This window comes from Homo sapiens, chromosome 8 (genome assembly GCF_000001405.40).
Source record: "Homo sapiens chromosome 8, GRCh38.p14 Primary Assembly".
In the NCBI taxonomy this organism is placed as follows: Eukaryota; Metazoa; Chordata; class Mammalia; order Primates; family Hominidae; genus Homo; species Homo sapiens.
The window spans coordinates 2,793,179-2,815,452 of NC_000008.11; the positions used below are offsets into that span (position 1 = coordinate 2,793,179).

General features: G+C 40.4%; 1 long non-coding RNA gene across 5 annotated transcripts in view, besides 3 other annotated features; it reads left to right on the forward strand.

The window, feature by feature from the left end:
* LOC105377785 (uncharacterized) overlaps nucleotides 1–22,274 on the forward strand; it is a 297,276-nt gene that overhangs the window by 66,223 nt on the left and 208,779 nt on the right. For all 5 annotated transcript variants that reach the window (NR_168443.1, NR_168445.1, NR_168442.1 and 2 more), the window contains exon 2: nucleotides 11,408–11,531. This is a non-coding gene — a long non-coding RNA (uncharacterized LOC105377785). The remainder of the gene's footprint in view (nucleotides 1–11,407; nucleotides 11,532–22,274) is intronic.
* Nucleotides 3,019–3,188: an enhancer, noted in NCBI's record as "experimental_102978 CRE fragment used in MPRA reporter constructs". NCBI's record gives its function as "activates a minimal promoter by MPRAs in K562 erythroleukemia cells, with activity observed for the introgressed 8:2653818 variant allele {active_cell/tissue: K562}" and the evidence as "EXISTENCE:reporter gene assay evidence [ECO:0000049][PMID:34662402]".
* Nucleotides 20,018–20,518: an enhancer, noted in NCBI's record as "H3K4me1 hESC enhancer chr8:2670718-2671218 (GRCh37/hg19 assembly coordinates)". NCBI's record gives its function as "activates a minimal SCP1, AML or CMV promoter by ChIP-STARR-seq in naive and primed H9 embryonic stem cells {active_cell/tissue: H9 hESC(naive and primed)}" and the evidence as "EXISTENCE:reporter gene assay evidence [ECO:0000049][PMID:30033119]".
* Nucleotides 20,519–21,019: an enhancer, noted in NCBI's record as "H3K4me1 hESC enhancer chr8:2671219-2671719 (GRCh37/hg19 assembly coordinates)". NCBI's record gives its function as "activates a minimal SCP1, AML or CMV promoter by ChIP-STARR-seq in naive and primed H9 embryonic stem cells {active_cell/tissue: H9 hESC(naive and primed)}" and the evidence as "EXISTENCE:reporter gene assay evidence [ECO:0000049][PMID:30033119]".

Here is a 22,274-nt window from a genome sequence, read left to right on the forward strand (position 1 = left end):
CCCTTCCGTAACTGTGTGTGTCACCAAAGGCTGAGGTTTACCAGCACGTTAACGTATTTTGACGTGTGTTGGTGAAGATAATGGCTGTAACAGATCAACCTTGGAAGCTCAGTGACTCTAAGGATTGGAAGTTTATTTCTCCCACCCGTAAAATTAAATTAGCATCACCAGGATTGGGGAAGTGGGGAAGGGTCTATTCCAGGCAGTAATTCAGGGGTCTAAGCTGTTGGAGGTGTGCAATTTGCCACCATGGCTACAAAAATCCCTCTGGGAATAAATGCCTATTATAGAGACAGGGGAAGAGAAGGGCTTTAGGAGTGTGAGATTTTTGTTTATTTTTTGTTTTATTTTGTTGTTAATGTGCCCCACTGGGAATGGCATGGGTCACTTCCTCCCTCATTCTACAGTCAAGAACTGCACCGCATGGAGACACCCCGCAGAAAGGAAGGCTGGGAATGCAGTTGGACTGTGTCTGCCCAGGACAAGCCACAGTTTGCTGAGCAACCAGCCAGTCTCTGTCAAGGACGGAGTGCTCCAGCGTAGGAGTCTGAACATCGAGAACTCATCATGCAGGCTTCCCACGCAACGCAGTCCTTCATTCCTGAGATCTGTCCCAGTTGCGTTATCCCACAAATAACTTGTAATCGAATGGAAATAAAGACATGAATACATGTGGTCCAAGGAGGCCACAGGTGAAAGGGAAGTAATATAAAGTTCATATAAAGGTGTTTACCTGCATTCAAATGCAAGGGAAAATCTTAATTATGAAAATTATCCCAAGGCTGCATTTTGTACAAGAGGAACATGTGCTGTCTGTTGGGTTGGGTCTTCCTTCCTAACATAAAACAACAAACTCTTGAATGTCTGTGATGGTAGATGCTGCTCCTGAAAGCGGAAGGAGAGGAGTGAGGAGGATGTTACCTGCAGTAACTGGGACAGAAGACAAGAATTCACAGTGAACAGCTGGAAACTGCTGGCAATGTTCACTGCTATTTCACTAGCATGCTCTCCTGCAAACTGCTAGTTATATTTTCAACCAATACAACACTGTCTTTCATCTCAGTATCGAAGTGGTTGAAAAATCTGCATGTACCTGGAACCACTGTTTTCATATCCTTGAAATTCTGAGTAGTTTTCTGCTAGACAGCAACTGTATTTTCCCATCCAGTTCATGAATCCTACATGTTCTCTCTGAATATGTTGAAAGAGAGTGTTTAAAAAATATATTAAATGTTGAGTATTGGGGCAGAATAATCTCTACCTACATTACTATAATCCACTGAACAATATCTTAACTATACAGAAAGGACTGTCAGCTATGAAAATGTGTCATTTCAATATCTTTAAACATTTCAGAAGTTTTTGGTTGAACGTCACAAGAAACTTAACTCATGCAAGCTTGAGGGAAAGAAGAGTATATTTTAGGGCAACAAAGTTGTATTAAAGTGCTGAAGGGAGGCGAGGAAGCTGGAGCCCTCAGGTTTCCCAGGAAGTTCAACCTGCCCGCCTTTCACCCCTGCACACGGGTGTTGTTTATCTCTTTCACTGACTGGCTCTTTTCTGATTTCCTTTACACACGGTGGAAAACAATTGGTGTCGGAAACACCTCATGCATTCTGTGACCTAACCAGGGTAAACACTGTCTCCCTAGCTACCCACTCCATGACTAATCACCTGCAGCCAAGGGTGGGTCATACTATGGGAACAGCAGACCAAAGGCATCCACTGCCAGACCGTGAGTTATCAACTGCAGCCAAGGCTGGGTCATACTACGGGAACAGCGGACCGAAGGCATCCACTGCCAGACCGTGAGTTATCAACTGCAGCCAAGGCTGGGTCATACTACAGGAACAGCGGACTGAAGGCATCCACTGCCAGACCGTGAGTTATCAACTGCAGCCAAGGCTGGGTCATACTACGGGAAGAGCGGACCGAAGGCATCCACTGCCAGACCGTGAGTTATCAACTGCAGCCAAGGCTGGGTCATACTACGGGAACAGCGGACTGAAGGCATCCACTGCCAGACCATAAGTTATCAACTGTAGCCAAGGGTGGGTCATACTATGGGAACAGCGGACTGAAGGCATCCACTGCCAGACCGTGAGTTATCAACTGCAGCCAAGGCTGGGTCATACTACGGGAACAGCGGACTGAAGGCATCCACTGCCAGACCATGAATTATCAACTGAAGCCAACGGTGGGTCATACTATGGGAACAGCGGATTGAAGGCATCCACTGCCAGACCGTGAGTGCAGCCAGGGGTGGGTCATACTATGGGAACAGCAGACCAAAGCCATCCACTGCCAGACCGTGAGTGGCAGAAAAGCTGTTCCTCAGTTCACTTCAATTCTAAAACTCGAACAAACTAAGTAAAATAAAAGGAAAAGGAAAAGGATGGAGGGTTTTACTCTGGTAATAGTTAAATGGGATAAATTGTCCTTTCCTCAACATACCATAGGACTCTCATTTCTAGGACCTGGGCTAGCTTTAGGTTTTATCTCCTAGGAAATCAGAGTTTATTTTATGTTCCTGGGAGGGGAGGGCAGAGGGAGTTGGTCAGGGTACTAGAGTCCTAGCTGGGATCCAATCTCCAATGCATGGATAATTACCACTCTAATACACCTGTTTGTCACTGTCAGTTATTTGGAGTGATTCTGCACAAGCCTGGTTGCTCGTGGTTAGAGATCTACCCATGCTCCAGGTTCTGACTTTGTTAATTATGGCAGAGGATTCATTTGTGGTAATCAATTTCCATCTGCTGTTTATGATTCATTCCGAGAAAAATTATAACAAGTCACATTTACAGAGGGCTAATTGTTTACTGAACCCCTTCCCATATTTTCCATCCTATTGTTTACACAATATATTCCATAATATTTTCCCTCGCTAATTTAATCAAATCTATGTATATGCCACTATGTATAAAACAATATGGTAATGTACCACTCAATATGTCAGCATGAAGAGTACAGTTTCTGCCACCAAAAAGTTTAGAGCTTTTTTATAGGGTAGACTGTGAAATTAAAATTGTGTATTTCTAGATTTAAAGATAAAAGAGAGCAAAGTAATTCTTATTTAAAAAAAAAAAGGCCTATCAAGAAGGAGATAGCCTGTTGAAATGGAGAGGTTTTGTGGAACATGCTACAAGGAAATATATGTTGAGCTTGACCATATAAATATATTTTCAGTGTTAACTGCTCATGGACTAAGTCGTCTTAGTAAAATAATTGGTTAGGCCGGGTGCAGTGCCTCACGCCTGTAATCCCAGCACCTTGGGAGGCCGAGATGGGCGGATCACGAGGTCAGGAGATCGAGACCACCCTGGCTAACATGATGAAACCCCATCTCTACTAAAAATACAAAAAACTAGCCAGGCGTGGTGGCGGGCGCCTGTAGTCCCAGTTACTTGGGAGGCTGAGGCAGGAGAATGGCATGAACCTGGGCGGTAGAGTTTGCAGTGAGCCGAGCTGAGGTTGCACCACTGTACTCTAGCCTGGGCGACAGAGCAAGATTCCGTCTCAAAAAAAAAAAAAAAAAAAGACTTGGTTAATGAAAGAGAATTGAAAAAGATTAAACTAATAGACAGGTGAGGCATAATTGTAGAATGCTCTGAGAATCAGTATGATGATCTTTGTTCTTCAGGCTATGAAAAGTCCTTGAAATTTTGTGAGCATCGAAGTGCTGTGTTAGTGTTTGCTGCTCATAAAACATCTTCAAAATATCAATGACTTACAACAACATGTGTGTGTTATCTTACTTGGGTCTTCAACTCAGACATTACTACTCGGAGCAGGAGGCTTGCTCCAGAAGGTCATGTAGATTTATGAACGTGCATAGGGTTCCTCAGTCTCCTCGGACCTTAACAAAGTGCTCAAAGGGAAACAAGAGAGATGAGCAAAATATATAATAACTCTTCAGACCTTGCCTGCAAACTGGCATGCATAACTTCTGTCCACTTCCATTGTGCAAAGCAAGTTATGTGGCAAAGCCCAACATAAATGGGGTGGAAAATTATGCTCTACTTGGGTGAAAGATAACACAACGTCATCACACAGAAAAGGACCTAGATGCAGGGAGAGTGTGAAGAACTGGGAACAATGACCCAATCTGTCACAAGTGTCATAAACAGAGTGTTGCCTTGGAAATGTTTCTTTGGCAACATGTCTGATCCACAAGATAAGCTAGAGTAACACTGGGGGTTTGGAAGCGAGTGGCCGTATTGTACATCAGAGTTATATTTCTGGAAAAATTTTATCCATTTGTTGCAAAGTTAGAATCTTCAGGTTTTCTAAAAATCCATTAGTCATTGTCAGTCATACGCTTGTCAAGAACCATGAAGTGTCTGAGGTTATACCCTGTTAAAAGTTTTCAGGCCAGGTTCACCCACCTTGTTTCAACTGGCAAGATTTCCTTCTTTTTCAAGTCTGCATAATATTCCACAGTATATATTATATATATATATATATAGTATATAAATTATATATACTGAATATATAATCTGCATGTACCTGGAACCATTTTAATATATACAGTATATATAATATGTGTATATAATATGTACAATATATAATACATATACAGTGGAATATTATGCAGCCTTGAAAAAGATGTATATATATATATATATATATATATATATATATATGTAGGTATGTTCTACATATATATATATATATATATATATATATATATATATATATATATAGATTGAGAAAGAGAGAGAGCCCGTTTTTCTCCTCAACAACAAGGATCATTGGGAAATGCATTGTTAGGTAATTTCATGGTTGTGCAAACATCATAGAGCATGCTTAGGTAAACCTGGTTGGTGTAGCCCACTACACATCTGGGCTACATGGTATAGCCTATTGCTCAGATCACTGTCATACATGTGGCGCATCACTGACCAAAACATTGTTAAGCAGCACGTGACTGTACATACTATGTTTTTAAATCCATTCATTCATCAGCAAACACTTAGTTGTTTCCACATCTTTGCTATTGTGAATAATATTGCAATAAACATGAGAGTGCAGACATTTCTTTGAGGTGGTGATTTTATTTCTTTTTAATGTATACTCAGCAGTGGGATTGCTGGATAATATGGTAGATCTATTTTTAATTCTGGGGGGAATCTCCATACTGTTTTCCATGATGACTGCGCTAATTTACACTCCCACCATGGAAGAGCCTGGAGGACATCACACCAAGTGAAATAAGCCAGGGAAAGACAAATACTGCATGATCCCACTTACATATGGAATCTATAAAAGCTAAACTCAGGAACTGAATAGAAGAGCAGTTGACAGAGCCTGGATGTTAGAGGCAATGGAGAGCATTGATCAAAATATACAAACTTTCAGTTATAAGATGAATGAGTTATGGGGAATCCAATGTACGGCATGGTAGTTAAAGTTAATACCATTGTACTGCATACTTGAAGTTTACTAAGAGTGTAGCACTTAAATGTGCTTACAACAACAACAACAAAGTTTACTATGTGAGGTGATGAATATGTTAATTAGCTAACGTGGTAGTCATTTTACAATGTGTACATGTATCAAAACATCATATTGTACATCTTGAATATATACAAGTTTTATTTATCAATTAGACCTCAATAAAGCTGGGAAACAAAGTTACCAGGTTATAGTTACATGGATGATGGCAGAAGACACAGAATCCTAGAACAGAGGCAAAGAACTTTATGAGCTATGGCACAGCATAAAGGTCAGTTTCAGTGTAATGTGTATATAAGTACACTGTATATATTAAAGCTATGATAAAATATGCATATATATTTAAAATTGTGACAGCTTCCCGGTAGGTCTTTGTCATAAAATACCCCTCTTAAACTTTAGAAATTATTGTTTTAGAAATCTTTTGTCATAAAATACCCCTCTTAATCTTTAGAAATGCTTCTTGCATTGCGTTTGCTATTAATAGAATATCCGCACTTTGTTTTGTTTAGAGGTTGCATGGTCTTTTTTTTATACTTTTATTTTCAACTTGCTGGGTTCTTATAATTAAGGCATATCACTTTAATAATACATAACTGACTTTTGCATTTTTTCAATCTAGCAATCTTTGTCTTTTAATTGTACAGTTTAATCCATTTACATTAAGTGAAACTATTTTTATATTTGGTTTTTACTTGCAGTATTATTTTATTTGATCTGTTTGTCTCAACTGTTTTAATTTTTCATCCTTTCTGCTTTCGTATTAATAGTTAATTTGTTTTCTTTTTTTCCACATTCATTTTATGAGCTTGTTAGTAACATATATGCATACAATATTATGGGCATGTGTTTAAATTCTAAAATTAAATTGCTGATGTCACTTTGTGTATTCAATATCCATTTACAGTTTCTTCTGTATTTACTATGCTGTTCTTCATTCCCTCCTACATAGCTGGGGCTCTGCCTGAGAGCCTGAGGTTTTTCCAAAGCTCTTCCTCCTTCCTGGTTCCTGAACTCAAGCATGAAGGCCCCTCAGCTTCTTGAGAACACCAACTCTGCTCTGTTAGTCAACAACATTAATTCTTAGTCACCAGCTCAGTGGAGCTTAAATATTAAGCATTTGCCTTAAAGGCAAGACTGCTGAGCATGTGGCTCACAGCTACTGGTTGGCCCTCCAAGTCCTGCCTACCTCGGCAGTTCCAAGTTCTAGCTTTATGTCTGCAGCCCCAGATGTTCCCTAAAGCTCAGGTGATGTATTTATTTTTTATTACTATACTTTAAGTTTTAGGGTACATGTGCACAATGTGCAGGTTAGTTACATATGTATACATGTGACATGCTGGTGTGCTGCACCCACTAACTGTCATCTAGCATTAGGTATATCTCCCAATGCTATCCCTCCCCCCTCCCCCCATCCCACAACTGTCATCAGAGTGTGATGTTCCCCTTCCTGTGTCCATGTGTTCTCATTGTTCAATTCCCACCTATGAGTGAGAACATGCGGTGTTTGGTTTTTTGTTCTTGCGATAGTTTACTGAGAATGATGATTTCCCATTTCATCCATGTCCCTACAAAGGACATGAACTTATCATTTTTTATGGCTGCATAGTATTCCATGGTGTATATGTGCCACATTTTCTTAATCCAATCTATTATTGTTGGACATTTGGGTTGGTTCCAAGTCTTTGCTATTGTGAATAGTGCCACAGTAAACATACATGTGCATGTGTCTTTATAGCAGCATGATTTATAGTCCTTTGGGTATATACCCAGTAATGGGATGGCTGGGTCAAATGGTATTTCTAGTTCTAGATCCCTGAGGAATTGCCACACTGACTTCCACAATGGTCGAACTAGTTTACAGTCCCACCAAGAGTGTAAAAGTGTTCCTATTTCTCCACATCCTCTCCAGCACCTGTTGTTTCCTGACTTTTTAATGATTGCCATTGTAACTGGTGTGAGATGGTATCTCATTGTGGTTTTGATTTGCATTTCTCTGATGGCCAGTGATGGTGTGCATTTTTTCATGTGATTTTTGGCTGCATAAATGTCTTCTTTTGAGAAGTATCTGTTCATGTCCTTCGCCCACTTTTTGATGGGGTTGTTTGTTTTTTTCTTGTAAATTTGTTTGAGTTCATTGTAGATTCTGGATATTAGCCCTTTGTCAGATGAGTAGGTTGCGAAAATTTTCTCCCATTTTGTGGGTTGCCTGTTCACTCTGATGGTATTTTCTTCTGCTGTGCAGAAGCTCTTTAGTTTAATTAGATCCCATGTGTCAATTTTGGCTTTTGTTGCCATTGCTTTTTGTGTTTTAGACATGAAGTCCTTGCCCGTGCCTATGTCCTGAATGGTAATGCCTAGGTTTTCTTCTAGGGTTTTTATGGTTTTAGGTCTAACGTTTAAGTCTTTAATCCATCTTGAATTGATTTTTGTATAAGGTATAAGGAAGGAATCCAGTTTCAGCTTTCTACATATGGCTAGCCAGTTTTCCCAGCACCATTTGTTAAATAGGGAATCCGGAGGAAGATCTACCAAGCAAATGGAAAACAGAAAAAGGCAGGGGTTGCAGTCCTAGTCTGTGATAAAACAGACTTTAAACCAACAAGGATCAAAAGAGACAAAGAAGGCCATTACATAAAGGTAAAGGGATCAATTCAACAAGAAGAGCTAACTATGCTAAATATATTTGCACCCAATACAGGAGCACCCAGATTCATAAAGCAAGTCCTGAGTGACCTACAAAGAGACTTAGACTCCCACACATTAATAATGGGAGACTTTAACACCCCACTGTAAACATTAGACAGATCAATGAGACAGAAAGTCAACAAGGATACCCAGGAATTGAACTCAGCTCTGCACCAAGTGTACCTAATAGACATCTACAGAACTCTCCACCCCAAATCAGCAGAATATACATTTTTTTCAGCACCACACCACACCTATTCCAAAATTGACCACATAGTTGGAAGTAAAGCTCTCCTCAGCAAATGTAAAAGAACAGAAATTATAACAAACTCTCTCTCAGACCACAGTGCACTCAAACTAGAACTCAGGATTAAGAAACTCACTCAAAACCGCTCAACTACATGGAAACTGAACAACCTGATGTATGTACTTTTTAGAAACGTATTGACTCAGAGCTGTGAATTTACAAGAGGCCGTATGTGAAAAGCAGGTTTATAATACAGACTCACCTTATGTAGTTCTCTTTTCTTTACAATTTTGGCCCTCAAGATCTGGTTGCTCTAAAAGCTCTCATTGCCTTTAACCAGGTGTTCCATTCTTGTAAACTATGTGGCTATTCTAGTTCTAATCAGACATGTTGTTTGCCACAAGCCAGAACTCTTTGTGCGTGTGTGTGTGTGTGTGTGTGTGCGCACGCAAGCTCATGTGTGCATTTTGATTACTGTAGAAGGAGAAATTTGACAAGAGACATATCAAACCCCAATAGACTGATATTACGGTGACGGAAAAGATCGTAAGAGCATTGGATTTTCTTTTCCAAGTTATCATAAAGACAAAAATCTTAAAGGTTTTCTGAAACTTCTTTCTTTGTGGCTATAATAAAAATCAATCAAAGTATTCTACAGATCCTTTGTAAACTGCCAGTAGACTGTGTCTACTTGTTTAATATTGCACATATTAATTACATGTAAAGAAGAAGACAAATATACATGATGTGTATTTACCCAGGCATATTACAGAAGGAAAAGCTTCCATGAGGGAAAGCTTCCTCTGCAGGAGTCTTGACCCCCTGACTATGCTGGACGCCCTCAGCCCCAACCACCATTATCAGCCTTTATATTCACCATCTGTGCTTCCTCTGGATCCAGGTGTGGCCATTTCTTTCACTGGGCTCCAGCCTCTGAGCCCGCTCAGTTTCCCATGGTCTTTACAGGCTTTGCCTCCTGGTCTTAACTGCAGCCATCCCTGGGCCTCATCTTCTCCATATGCTAGGCATGTAGAAAGTATCTGTGCTCACGCACCAAGACACATCGCACGCTTGCAGCATCCTGTAGCTCACCTTTAGCTCTTGTTTATTTGTGGATGGACATTGAGGTTTATTCTATATCTTGGCTATTGTGAAAAATGTTGCAATAAATATGCAGGTGCAAATATCTGATATACTGATTTTCTTTCCTTTGGATAAATATTCATTAGTGGGAATGCTGGATCATATGGTAGTTCTGTTTTTAGTTGTCTGAGGCACTTCCATACGGTTTCTCATAATAGCTATACTAATTTTTATTCCCATCAACAGTGTGTGAGGGTTCCCTTTTTCTACACCATCCGTAACACTTGTTATCATTTGTTATTCAATGATCGCCATTCTAACAGGTGTAAGCTGTTATCTCACATGGTTTTAATTTGATTTTCCCTGATGATTAGTGACCACCTTTTTATATACCCGTGGTCCATTTGTACATCGTTTTTATTTTTTGGAGAAATGTCTATTTAGATTCTTAGCCCATGTTCTAACTGAGTTATTTATTTATTTATTAATACTGAGTTAAGTTTCTTATATATTTTGGATATGAACACCTTATCAAATACATGGTTTGCAAATTTTTTTCCCATTCTGTAGGTTACCTTTTCATTTTGTTGTTGTTGTTTTCATTGCTGTGCAGAATCTGTTTGGTTTTACCTAGTCTTAGTTGTTTCTTTTTCTTTTTTGCCTGTGCTTTTGGTATTACATCCAAAAAATCATTGCCAAGACAAATGGAAAGGATTTTTTTCCCCTCCGATTGTTTTCAGGAGATTTATGGTTTCAGATCTTATATTTAAGTGTTTAACCCGTGGTAAATTGAACTTTGACAAGAGGGCCAGGAATGCACAATGAGGAAAGGAAAGTCTCTTCAACACACGGTGCTGGGAAAACCGGATATTCACATGTAAAACAATGGAACTGGATCATTGACTCATGCATTTTGAGATGGATGCATTTCTAAATACTTGGATGAATGCATAGTCAACTTTTTAAAATGTTATTTTATATCTGTTGGCAACAGTTAATGAAAAAGAACTCCTGAATAAAAACAGTTAGTGAAAGCCAATTACTTTCTTTCCGGTCATCTGTAGAAATCAAAACAAACACGAAAATGTGTCCCTGAGTTTCTAGAGTTTAAACCAAATTGGATGTATGTAAAAGGAATTGCTGAAAGTGTTTCATCACAATTTCAAGCAAACCAAAAAAATTAGTAAAATAAAAATAATAAAGATATGTTGTGGAAGCTATGTGATTACTGTCTCATAGAAAATTGCATAAAGTATTTATTATGTCAGTAGCAAGTTTTAACATCCCACTTCAAGAAATTTTGTCCTTTGCTACTTTACTGTGATATAATCAGTCATATTATCTTCGTAAATTTCCTTTGCAATCACTAAAATAACAAAACACATTTCGTCTGAAAATTATTGTATTTTTACCGGTATCGTTTGCTTGTTTGATTTTGGTATATATTTTCCTTGAGGCACAGAATTTAGTGTTTTACCAAAAGCCTTTTTTTTTTTCTCTCAAAACCACCCTTAGTAGTGTAAGTTGTATATTATCTCATATCTTGTATATATTACATCAAATTACATTGTGACTCTACTTTACTCTTGGAATACATTTTCAGATCTGCAACAAATATGTATACCTACTTCCAAGTAAAACTCAGGTAACTACTTCAAGCAAGTTTTTTCTCCCAATACAGATTTTTAGAGCAAGAAGTCAAGTCTACCTCGAGGGTTCAAACCCAAGGTCTGCACTTCTTTGCTGTGTGTCCTGAAGGAAGTTACTCAGCCTCTGTGCCCATCAGTGAGAGTATAGATAATAATAGCATATAAGTCATAAGATTTTTGTTGGGATAAAATAAATTAAGGCATGTAAGGCACTAAGAATGGTGCTTGGGTGGAATGTGAGTTGGATTAATATTTGCTGTTGTTTTTGCTCTCTTGCCTATAGGTTAATATCCAGAGTCACACGTGGAGAGGAAGCATCACAATGAGACCATACAACCATATAATCTGTTCAAGTCCTAGAAGGTGTTGGCAGAGCTGCAGGACTGACCTAGGTCAATGGCTGTGGGGTAAGGAGAGAGGTTTTGTGATTGTTTTTAAAAATCCCAGTGGGTATAGCAGGCGCATCCCTGTCTTCCTCAATCGTGGAAGCTAGGGATTTTAATCAGCTTTGGGATAGATTGCCCTTTGCTATAGTCACATGTCCTCTGCAGTGCTGTGAACACCTCCTATGTGAGGCAATGCATGACCAGCAAGGTTGGGAATCCAGTGATAAGCCTCAGAGTAAATGCTTCCTATCAAATGTGATAAAGTGATCTTGTAAACTGAACAATTCCTATAGAAAAATGTATGTCACTCAAGACTTATGGGGTTTCTTCAAGGAGATAATCTCGTTTAAGTTTGAACTCAGGCTATTATGTGCCAGTCTGTAATAGTTTTGGGAAAACTGTATTTATTTTTGTTTGAATATTGGATCCCACTGGAGATTAGAAACAGAGATGACAAACACTGTAAGAGATACATAGGTATATAGATAGATCGATCTGATCTCCTCTACTCAGGTCATAGAAAAAACTGTATTTATTTTTGTTGGAGTATTTGATCCCACTGGAGATTAGAAACAGAGGTGACAAACACTGTAAGATAGATAGATATCTGATGTCTTTCCCCCAGGTCATAGAAAAAAAAACCCAAAAGATCTTAAAGTAGTTTAATGCAGGCCACCCTAGACTACTCTTGCAGTAGAATCACATGGAACTAAATCACTCAACCCCAGGAAGTGCTCCATTGTTTAGGACTGAGGTCTGATGTCTTTGGGAGGTCAAAGGGTGTATATTGGTGTCACCATGTGTGGGGTAGCTTGGGGGTGGCCCTGAAGGAAATTGTTTGTATTGTCACTTTCTGAGGGAGGCCAATCCTGAGGCAAGAAAAAAAAGGAATTGAGAGTGGGAGTTATATAGAGATATGGAAAAACCTTTCCCCTTATTCAGAAGCCTTATGGTATTTTATTCTAGAATCTGCCAATTAGAGAACCTCAACCTATGGCTAATAATGGGCATCTGCTTGGCCTTAGCCAGGGTACTAGGCTTGGAGCCAGGCTCGCATGTGGCTGAAAAAAGACTCAGAGGATGCCTTGAGCATTAGCCCTGAGTTCAGCCTTTTACAGTTTCCAGTCTAAGGTTCAAGTCTCTAATATGTTTTGGTTGATTTTTTATGTGATGTGAGGTAAGGGTCCAATTTCATTCTTCTGCATGTGGCTATCCAGTTTCCCCAGCAGCATTTACTGGAGAGACTATTCTTTCCACATTGTGTTTTATTAATGCCCTTGTTTAAAATTAGTTGATAATAGATGCATGGGTTTATTTCTGGGCTATTTTGTTTCATTGGACTGTGTATCTGTTTTATGCCCATATCATGCTGTTTTGATTACTACAGCTTTGCAATGTAATTTGAAACCAGGGAATGTAATTCTTTCAGCTTTGTTCGTCTTGTGCAAGATTGCTTTAGGTATTCGGGATATTCTGTGAGTCCATATGAATTTAAGGATTTTTTTTTCTATTTCTGTAAAAAATGCCATTGGAGTTTTGAAATGGATTGCACTGAATCTGTAGATCACATTCGGTAGTATGAATATTTTGACAATATTTATTCTTCTGGTTTTTTAACATTGTTCTGGTTTTCATTTTTTGTCTATTTTAATTCTTTACATCAGTATTTTATAGATTTCAATGTACAGATCTTTCACATCTGTGGATAAATTTATTCCTAAGTAAATTTTTACTACCATAAATGAATTTTTTCTTAATTTCTACATTAAGAAAAAAGAAAGATCTCAAATAATCCAATTTGACAACTCTTGGAACTAGAAAATGAAGAACAAAGTAAGCCCAAAGTTGGTAGAAGGAAAGAAATAATAAAGATTGGAGCAAAAACAGATTGAGAAGAAAGGCAATAGAAAAGATCAATGAAGCTGAGAGTGTTTTTTGTTAAAAGATAAACAAAACTGACAAATCTTTAGCTAGACTAGCTAAGACAGAGAAAAGACTCAAATAAAATTACAAATTAATGTGGAGTCATTCCAACTGACACCACAGAAATACAAGGGTTCATTCAAGACTGCTATGAGCAATTATACACCAATGATTGGAAAACCTAGAAGAAACTGATAAATTCCTAGAAACATACAATCTTCGAGACCAAATTATCAAGAAATAAAAAAAACCTGAACAACCAATAACGAGAATATTGAATTAGTAATAATTTTTAAACCCTTTCAACAAAGAAAAGTTTACGATGAGATTGTTTCATGGTGAATTCTACCAATTAATGCCGATTATCCTCAAACTCTTCCAAAAACTGACGAAAAGGAAGTACATTCAAACTCATTTTCGAGGCCACATTACCCTGATGTAAAAGCCAGACAAGGACACTGACACTATCAGAAAAGAAAACTACAGACCAATATTCTTGATGAACATAGATGGAAAACTCTTCCACAAAATACTAGCAAATGATTTTCAACAGCATATTAAAAGTATCATTGACCATGATCAAGTATTACGTTGATGAAATTATTTTTGCACCAACCTAACAGAATTTATTCCAGGGATGCAAAAATTATTACTTTATTATTGATATAATTCCACACACTGTTTTTATGTTTGTACAAAGAGGAATCTTGATAGCAAGAAAATAGTATGTGTGTTAGAACTGTAACAACTCTGTTACCAAAATTCTGTGGTTGAGATTCAATGAAAATAAATAAATATATATATGTGTGTGTATATATGCATTTTGAGAGAAAGAGACAGAGAGAGAGATCTTAGAATTTTAAGCTATTACTCTGGGTAATTAATGTTTCAGACTTCTTCCTACACTGCAAATAACATTACTGAAATAAAAACAATAAGAGTAATTTGAATACTTTATATTTTCTTTTTAAAACTTTTCCTTTGTTCTCTCCTTGCATAAGTTCAAAACCTCTTAGTACTTTATCATCACTCATTATTATTTTGTCTGAACTCAGTCTGACAATATATCTATTCATTTATTCAAACAATATCTTCAATTACGTTTTGATTCATGACAAGTAAAATACAATCATATACCAAGCGCCATGTTTTATGATGGAGTCTCCTGACTCAGCAAAGCCTCCCTACTTTATGTAAGGAGGACGAAAATGCATGCGCATAACTGTCTGAGGGATAGGATGGGACCCGGCCCTCTGGGAGCCAAGATGGGCCTTCCTGACAGCAGGAAATTACTCTCAGCTATGGGGAGACTGAGACTGGCCACCAAGGGGAAGATGCTTAACAATTGGAAATATGCAGACCTGGCAGTAAAACTAAATCAGAACAGAGGAATGATCAGAAATAATGAAGAGATGATATGAAGAGTACACTTAGGAATAAGAACAGAAGTTGTTGTTTTTCTCTAATTGAACAATAATTGAATTAGGCATGTGTGAGTGTGAAGCATATTCAGTTCATTGACTTATTAGGGCACATTTTCTGAGGCTGTTTTCTGAAAAGATGGAAATATCAAATATTCTCATGGTTTTTATTTTCGCATTTGTTTCCAACTGGTTCAATGACAGCAAGTAAGACAGTGTTACTCGTAAAAACGGAAACGGTTGGCAATATTCCTGCAGCTGTTTAAAGAAAAATTTAGTGCAGGACAGTTATCAAATAATTCACTATTTCATTTCTTACGTAAGTTCTTTTCAGTGTCTGCTAACAGATTTAACTGCCTGCCACCTGAGCACTGGAGCCACCACAGTACTCAATCAAGACAGGTATGAAAGAGTTTAATCTATGAAAAACTGCCAGTCTCTATTTTTTCCTTTAATTTCTAAGGATATTTCAACAGCTTCAGGTAAAGGTGAGATTTAATGGTTACATATTTGACTTCAAACTCATGCCTAGGAGCTAAATGTAGGTGTTAAAATCACAAGAAGTATATAGAAGAGTCATCTATGAGGGTTTTTTTTCTACTCAGTGCACTAAATGATCAAGTTATTTACTGTTCTGTTACTGGCATTTCTAAAACCATCCCCACCAGACCTCTGACTCACTATTCCTTTGCACTGAAGTTTTCATTTTAGAGTTCTTTTATTAAAAAAGAAAAGATATCTCACCTCAATATTGCTATGATTATGCTCCTATAAGACAGTGGAAATTACCTAGTAATTGCTCAAGAGGATTTTATATGGATCACAAGAGAGTGGTTCTGTTCGGTGCTAATCAAGGCAAGGATGTTTACTGAACTCTTCTATGAGTAAGCCACAACAGCTGGGGAGCTACAGAGGAAACTGAGAGGCACATGACATAGCATTTGACCTCAAAAAGCTCCAAAAATTTAGCAGCAATAAGCCCCAAATGCATCCATCTGGGCTGAGCCCTCCTGCAACTACCAACCAGCCTCCCTCCACTGTGGTCCCATTCTGCCTGGGCACAGGGTCAGGTGTTCATTTATCTCTATTCCTGTCTGTATTCATCCATTTTCATACTGCTATGAAGAAATACCCAGGACTGGTATTTCTGGTAAAGAAAGAGAGGTCTAATGGACTCACAGTTCCACATGGCTGGGGAGGCCTCATGCTTATGGCGGAAGAGGATGGAGGAGCAAAGCCACATCTTATGTGGTGGCAGGCAAGAGAGTTTGTGCAGGGGAACTGCCCTTTATAAAACCATCAGATCTCATGAGACTTATTCAAGGTCAAGAGAACGGCATGGGAAAACCCACTCATGATTCAGTTACCCCCAACTGGGTCCCTCCCACAACAGGTGGGGATTATAGGAGCTACAGTTCAAGATGAGATTTGGGTGGGGACACAGCCAAACCATATCATTCTGTTAGTTCCAAAGTCTGTATCAACTTTAGATTACGAAATCTTTAATGCTCAAGACTGGACTCTGTTCATCATCTTTGAACGTCCAAGTCCTACAACAAACTTAAGAATTAAACCAAACAGCTTAGAAGCACTGCCACAAACATGAAAACATGCAGCCATGAACCTCACCCCTCATCTCTGTTCCTCCTCTGGGTTCTTCCTTCTCAGGTATCAGCACCTCTGTTCACATTAGCATCTCCACATCCTCTTTGGACTTTGCCTTCTCACACTCTCCATTTCAGATCCATTGCGGTCTTGCTCCTCCCTCCCATGCTGTTTTCAAGTTCCTCCCTTGGCTCCCTCCCCACTTCTGGCCATACCACCCCTGGGAGAATTCACACCACCCTACTGGGGCCATGTGTGAGTGTTCCCCTCTCCACCAGCTGCCGGAACATCCTTGTTGTAGGAGTAATTCTTCACAACACAAATTGGGTAACATTACAGCTCTGCTCAAAGCTGGCAATGGTGCATTTCACTTTAAAGAATCACAAGCCCCATCACATGCCTGTATCGTGGGGCATCACCCAGCCCCACACCCAGCCACGTCTCTGAAAACAGATTGCGTCATTCTTTTCCATGCCTGCTGCGCTCCGCGAAACCACCTTGGGCCATTTGCACAGCCCATGTCCACTACCCAGAAGGCTCATCCCCAAGAATGCTCCAGTGAACTCTTACCCATCCTGCATGCCTCCATCCAAACGCCCTTCCTCAGGGGTCTTTTCCTACTCCCCCATCTAAACTGTGCCATTTCTTCTGGTGTATTCTGTGTCTTCACATCCTGTTCTTTCTTTTGTAGAAATGATGACAATTTTTAAGTCTGTATGTATTCCTGTTCCCTCAAAATCAATGTTTTGCTGAGGCTGTTTCTGTTGCCCATCCCTCTAACTTGAGGGCACCAACACACCTGGCACACTGGAGATGCCCAGGACATGCTGCCAAATGGGAGAATCAATAAAACAGCAGCCAAGGAAGTGGAAATGGGAGGAAGAGTTCAAATGAAGATGCCTATCCTTGAATGAACTTTCATTTGAAGGGACATGGACAGCTATATTACTATATTAGTCGATTTTCATGCTGCTGATAAAGACTTACCTGAGACTGGGAAGAAAAAGAGGTTGAATTCGACTTACAGTTCTACATGGCTGGGAGGCCTCAGAATCATGGTGGGAGGCAAAAGACACTTCCTACATGGCGGCGGCAAGAGAAAATGAGGAAAAAGCAAAAGCGGAAACCCCTTATTAAACCATCAGATCTCATGAGACTTATTCACTACCTTGAGAACAGTATGGAGGAAACTGTCCCCATAATTTAAATTACCTCCTATTGGGTCCCTCCCACATCATGTGGGAATTATGGGAGTACAATTCAAGATGAGATTTGGGTGGGGACACAGACCCAAACCATATCAGCAGCTGACAGCTTCTCAAGCAAAAGATAAGCAAAATCTGGTGCTGATTTGCAGTGACTCATCTGGTCTGGTTAATGAGTGCAGAGCCCACTCTATTTCTGACTCTCATCCATGAGTACAAAGAGGGCAGCAGGGATCCAACTAGTAACAGTGAACACAGCCATGGGAGCGTAACCCTCCCCACCAATGCCTTCCTGGTCTGCCATTCACCACCATGCGGTGCCCTCGCAGCCTCCAGCCATCTCCTGAAAGGGTGGAGTTTGTCAGAAAGCACCCGGGTGAGGGGCACGGGTCACGACAAACTCTAGGTGCCTGCTCCCAGCATCCTGAGATCTCCCTTGAGAACTGACAAAGTCAACGTTTGGTTAATTTATATCTGATATGGAAATTCACACAACTGAACGATGGGGTGAGCTCAGTTGGCTTCTGGAAGCTGCGAGAACATCCCATAGAGAGCATCTTGGGGATAAATGGATTCAGGCAGCGTGAACATCGGCCCCGACATCCCCACAGAGACACTTGCAGAAGGGCCTTTGCTGAAAAACGTTACGTCAGTAATTTCAAGGACTGGCTAGCTAATGATTAGCAAACAAATCCTGATCTAAGTGTTTACTAAATGAAGGGGTTGATAATATCCGCCATCGATTGTCTTGAAGAGTCCGTGAAAAAGTGGATCCCAATTCAGCTAATATGAAAAATTAGAAAGGAAACATCTGGAGGATCAACCGGAGGCTTGCTGGAGGAGCAACCCTCCCTCAGGGCCTAGGCAGGCAAGGGAGGGTAGGAGACACGGGACGGAGCAGCGTGGGAGATGAGGGCTTCCCGTAGGAGATGCTGCAGTTGCCCTGAGGCCGATCTCATTCATATCCCGAACTCTGAAAAGCAAACGAGGTCTCTGAATGCTTGGCACGTGCCAAACTGGGCTCCAGCGTTTGCTGTTCATCCGGCGCACAAACAGCGTTCCACGAATGTGCACAGAAGCACGGTTCCTGGGCCCTAAATTTGTCAAGGCTCTGACGGCTGCTACTAGCGTGGTCCCTGAGAGCATCTTAACATGGGAACGCCTCTATCAGGTGTTTTCCCAGGCACAAAGGTAAACACAAAGTCAGGTAATTACTGCACGTTTATATCACACCAGCACATGGCCCGAGGCAGTGGCTCATGCCTGTAATCTCGGTACTTTGGGAAGCTGAGGTGGGCGGATCACTTGAGATCAGGAGTATGTAGGAGACCAGCCTGTCCAACATGGTGAAACCCTGTCTCTACTGAAAATACAAAAAGTAGCCGGCGTGCTGGCACGCACCTGTCGTCCCAGCTACTTGGGAGGCAGGAAAATCACTTGAACCCAGCTGGTGGAGGTTACAGTGAGCTGAGATCACACCACTGCACTCCAGCCTGGGCAACAGAGCAAGACTCATCTCAAAAATAAATAAACAGAAAATAAAACATATATCACACGGGCACCCATCTGACCTAAACAATGCATAGCACAAGGAGTTAAGTCCAAGCCATGCCATAGGAGCCCTCCCGGAAGACAGAGTGGTGAAATTCAGGACGGCCTGATGACAGCTTCGAATCCCCATCAGAAGAAAACCCAGCACCTGGTTCAACGTGTGAGAAACCATAGCGGGGACTTTTGGGAGAGTCCATCACACACACCATGAAGCTCCCATGAAAGCACAAAAGAAGTGTCTAACCTGACCGGAGGAGTTCAAGAGACAGAGCGAAGACCAGCAGCTCCTCCTCCAGCTTCCAACGCAGAGCGCAGTCGGCGAGACTGCAGCTCATTGCCGCTCAGGGACCCCTGGAAGGCGGCCTCTCTCCACCAGCTTCACCTTCACCGCAGCTGCGGAAGCTCATGCTCCCCTCTGCAGCCTGCGGCTTTGATTCCTGGAACGCAGTACCGCAGACGCCACAGGCATTTTTATGGGGAAACCGCTCTTTCTGTCCTTGCCTGCACTCCCAGGCCCTCTCCTACCTCCTGTTGGGAAAGATTCGGTGACTGAAACCTTTTGCTTTTCATGTTTTCTCTGTTGGAAATAAATGCAGATGCTTTTGTACACGGATTTTATAATAAAGTCGTTAAGATCTTGAAAATGTAGTGTTAAGATCAAACTCTTTTTCAATTATTGTTTAATACTTTACTTGCCAGGTCACACTATCACATGGGAATAGAAGTCATTAAGAGGCACATGAAAACCTTGCCATGAAAAGTGTATTAGGAAAGAAAAGACTCTCAAAGTGAGAGGAGTCGATCTGTGCTCCTCATTCTTTCATACATTAAGTTGCTAATAAAAAACGGTTGTATCAGTGTTGGGTGTTATTCATCTCTATGATTAACTATGATTAAATATAAGTATAGGACTTAAGTTTCTATTTTTCTACTATTAATTCCCAAAACTAAAAAGCTACATTTCTAAGGGTAAAATTCAAAAATAATCAAAGTAATGATAACAATTGAGGATTTTCTCAAAGTCACATATATTAGCCATTCATTAAAATTTTATTTTTTGCTAAGAGAATATGACTTTGGGAGACTGAGTTTGTAAATGATCAATTACCACGCCACATATAAAAGCAGAACTCTGACCCACGATTTGCCGCGAGCAGCCCCGGGAGCCAGCGCTTGTCTGCAGGAGCCAGTTCGGAAGCCACCTGCTGCAAGTCAGAGTCCAGAAAGGAAGGCCGGGGTGTCAAGCAACGGCCCAGAAGGCCAAACAGTTCACCCTGAGGCAATCAGTGCCAAAGGGCCAGGATGTAATTAATGACTGACAGATTCTGTAACGTTGTCCCCAATTCCAACCTAGGACCAGGTGGAGAAAGCCAAGTGTTCCCCTAGTCAATTCCATGAGATGTCCCCACTACCACCACAGCCTCCGCCGGGGCTCCCCGAGCCGCTCTCCCCGCTCCCTGCCTCCTGAGTCTCTGCCAAGCCCAAAGTGTGGTGGTGGCTCCATCTGTCTAGCAAGCTCTGAATAAATAGCTCTTGCCTGTTCTCATTTGGTTGGTCTCTGTTCATTCTCACAACTGGAGTGGTCACATTATGCCTCCTTCCTTCATATTAACATCTCCAAAAGGATGTTTTTAACACTCCTAGATGCAGAACTCCATATTGCTTCAAATCCCCTTGTTCCCTTTTCATAGAATACGAATGGTGTGGGACATGCGGAGGTTGGAATGTGCACCTTACAGGAGAAAGGCCCCTGCTGAGTTTCCTCGTTTATTAGCAGGAGAGTCTGGCAGATGCTCCTAGGTATGTGACGAAGTGGACGTTCACCATGAGTCACTAAGCTAAATTTCTAATTGAAGGCTAAGAGTTGGGCTTTTAGAGTCACTGGGAGTGACCTCCGTCGGGCACATCAATCACTTTGGAGACGTCGCATGGGAAGCTGGCTGTGATCCTGAATGTTTCTGCAGAGGGAGGTGGATGGACTTTTCGTGTGTTGAGAGTTTCATAGAAAAAGGAGCCCTGCCTCATGGGCACTGATGCCTGTTCCAGGGAGAATACTTAGTGGGGGAACTGCTAACTGGACAGAGCTAGACTGTCCCGGCTCAGCACTGTTGGTCTAGGAAATTAAAGAGCTAATCAAAGACATCTGTGCATTTTGGATCCCAAGTGGGGTGTGCCTTTGGCCAAGCCTACCAAGAAGAAAGGGACCATCGCATCTCCAGAGCTGTGTTAGCCCATTAAGCACCTGCAAAGCCTGGAGCAAAATTCTCCATTAAACACCGACACCTGGTGGCGAAGCCAGGAACAGCACCAGCAGATTGACAGCCCAGTTCTTGACAGGTTTGTAATAGAAGGACCTTGCTCTGGGGACAATTTGAGGGGGCGATCCTGGATATGCTCATAATTAACTACAAAAGTTAAAAGATATATTCATATTCCATAATCAGTTTGGGGAACAGTCTATCCCATTTGCACGCAAATTCTCTTTTGAGCAGTATTTTGCCAACTAATTACTAGCCTTTGAGAATTTCTGCATAGGCTACTCTAACTACACATACGATTTGACAACAAGTTAGTGAGCTTCAAAAGCAAAACAAAAGACATCCAATTAAATGGATTTATCAATAAAACCAGAAAGAAATATTTTAAATATAGTTCCTCCTCAAATTCGATTACAGCATTTATTTTGAGTCCAGTAATAACAATCACTTAGACAGCAGCTGAATTAACATGGCATTATCTGTAAAAGCAAAGTGAGTCCTAAGCAAATGAATAAGCTCTCACAAGGAAAATGTTCCAAGTACCTAGGATGAATGTTTGAAAGCATTCTTAGGTTTGGTCATTTTCACATAAATCCTGTGCAAGTTTTTTTTTTGTTTGTTTTTAATGCAGTCAGTGAACTAAAAGACGCTTGCATTTCTGTTAATTCTTGATATTATGAGACAAAAATTTAAAATTTATCTGGAAGAATGAAATATTTAAAAGTTAAGAAAATTTTAGAAGAATCTTTTAAACAATAGGATACCAGATAAATTACAAACTATGTACTAGGATAAAACTAG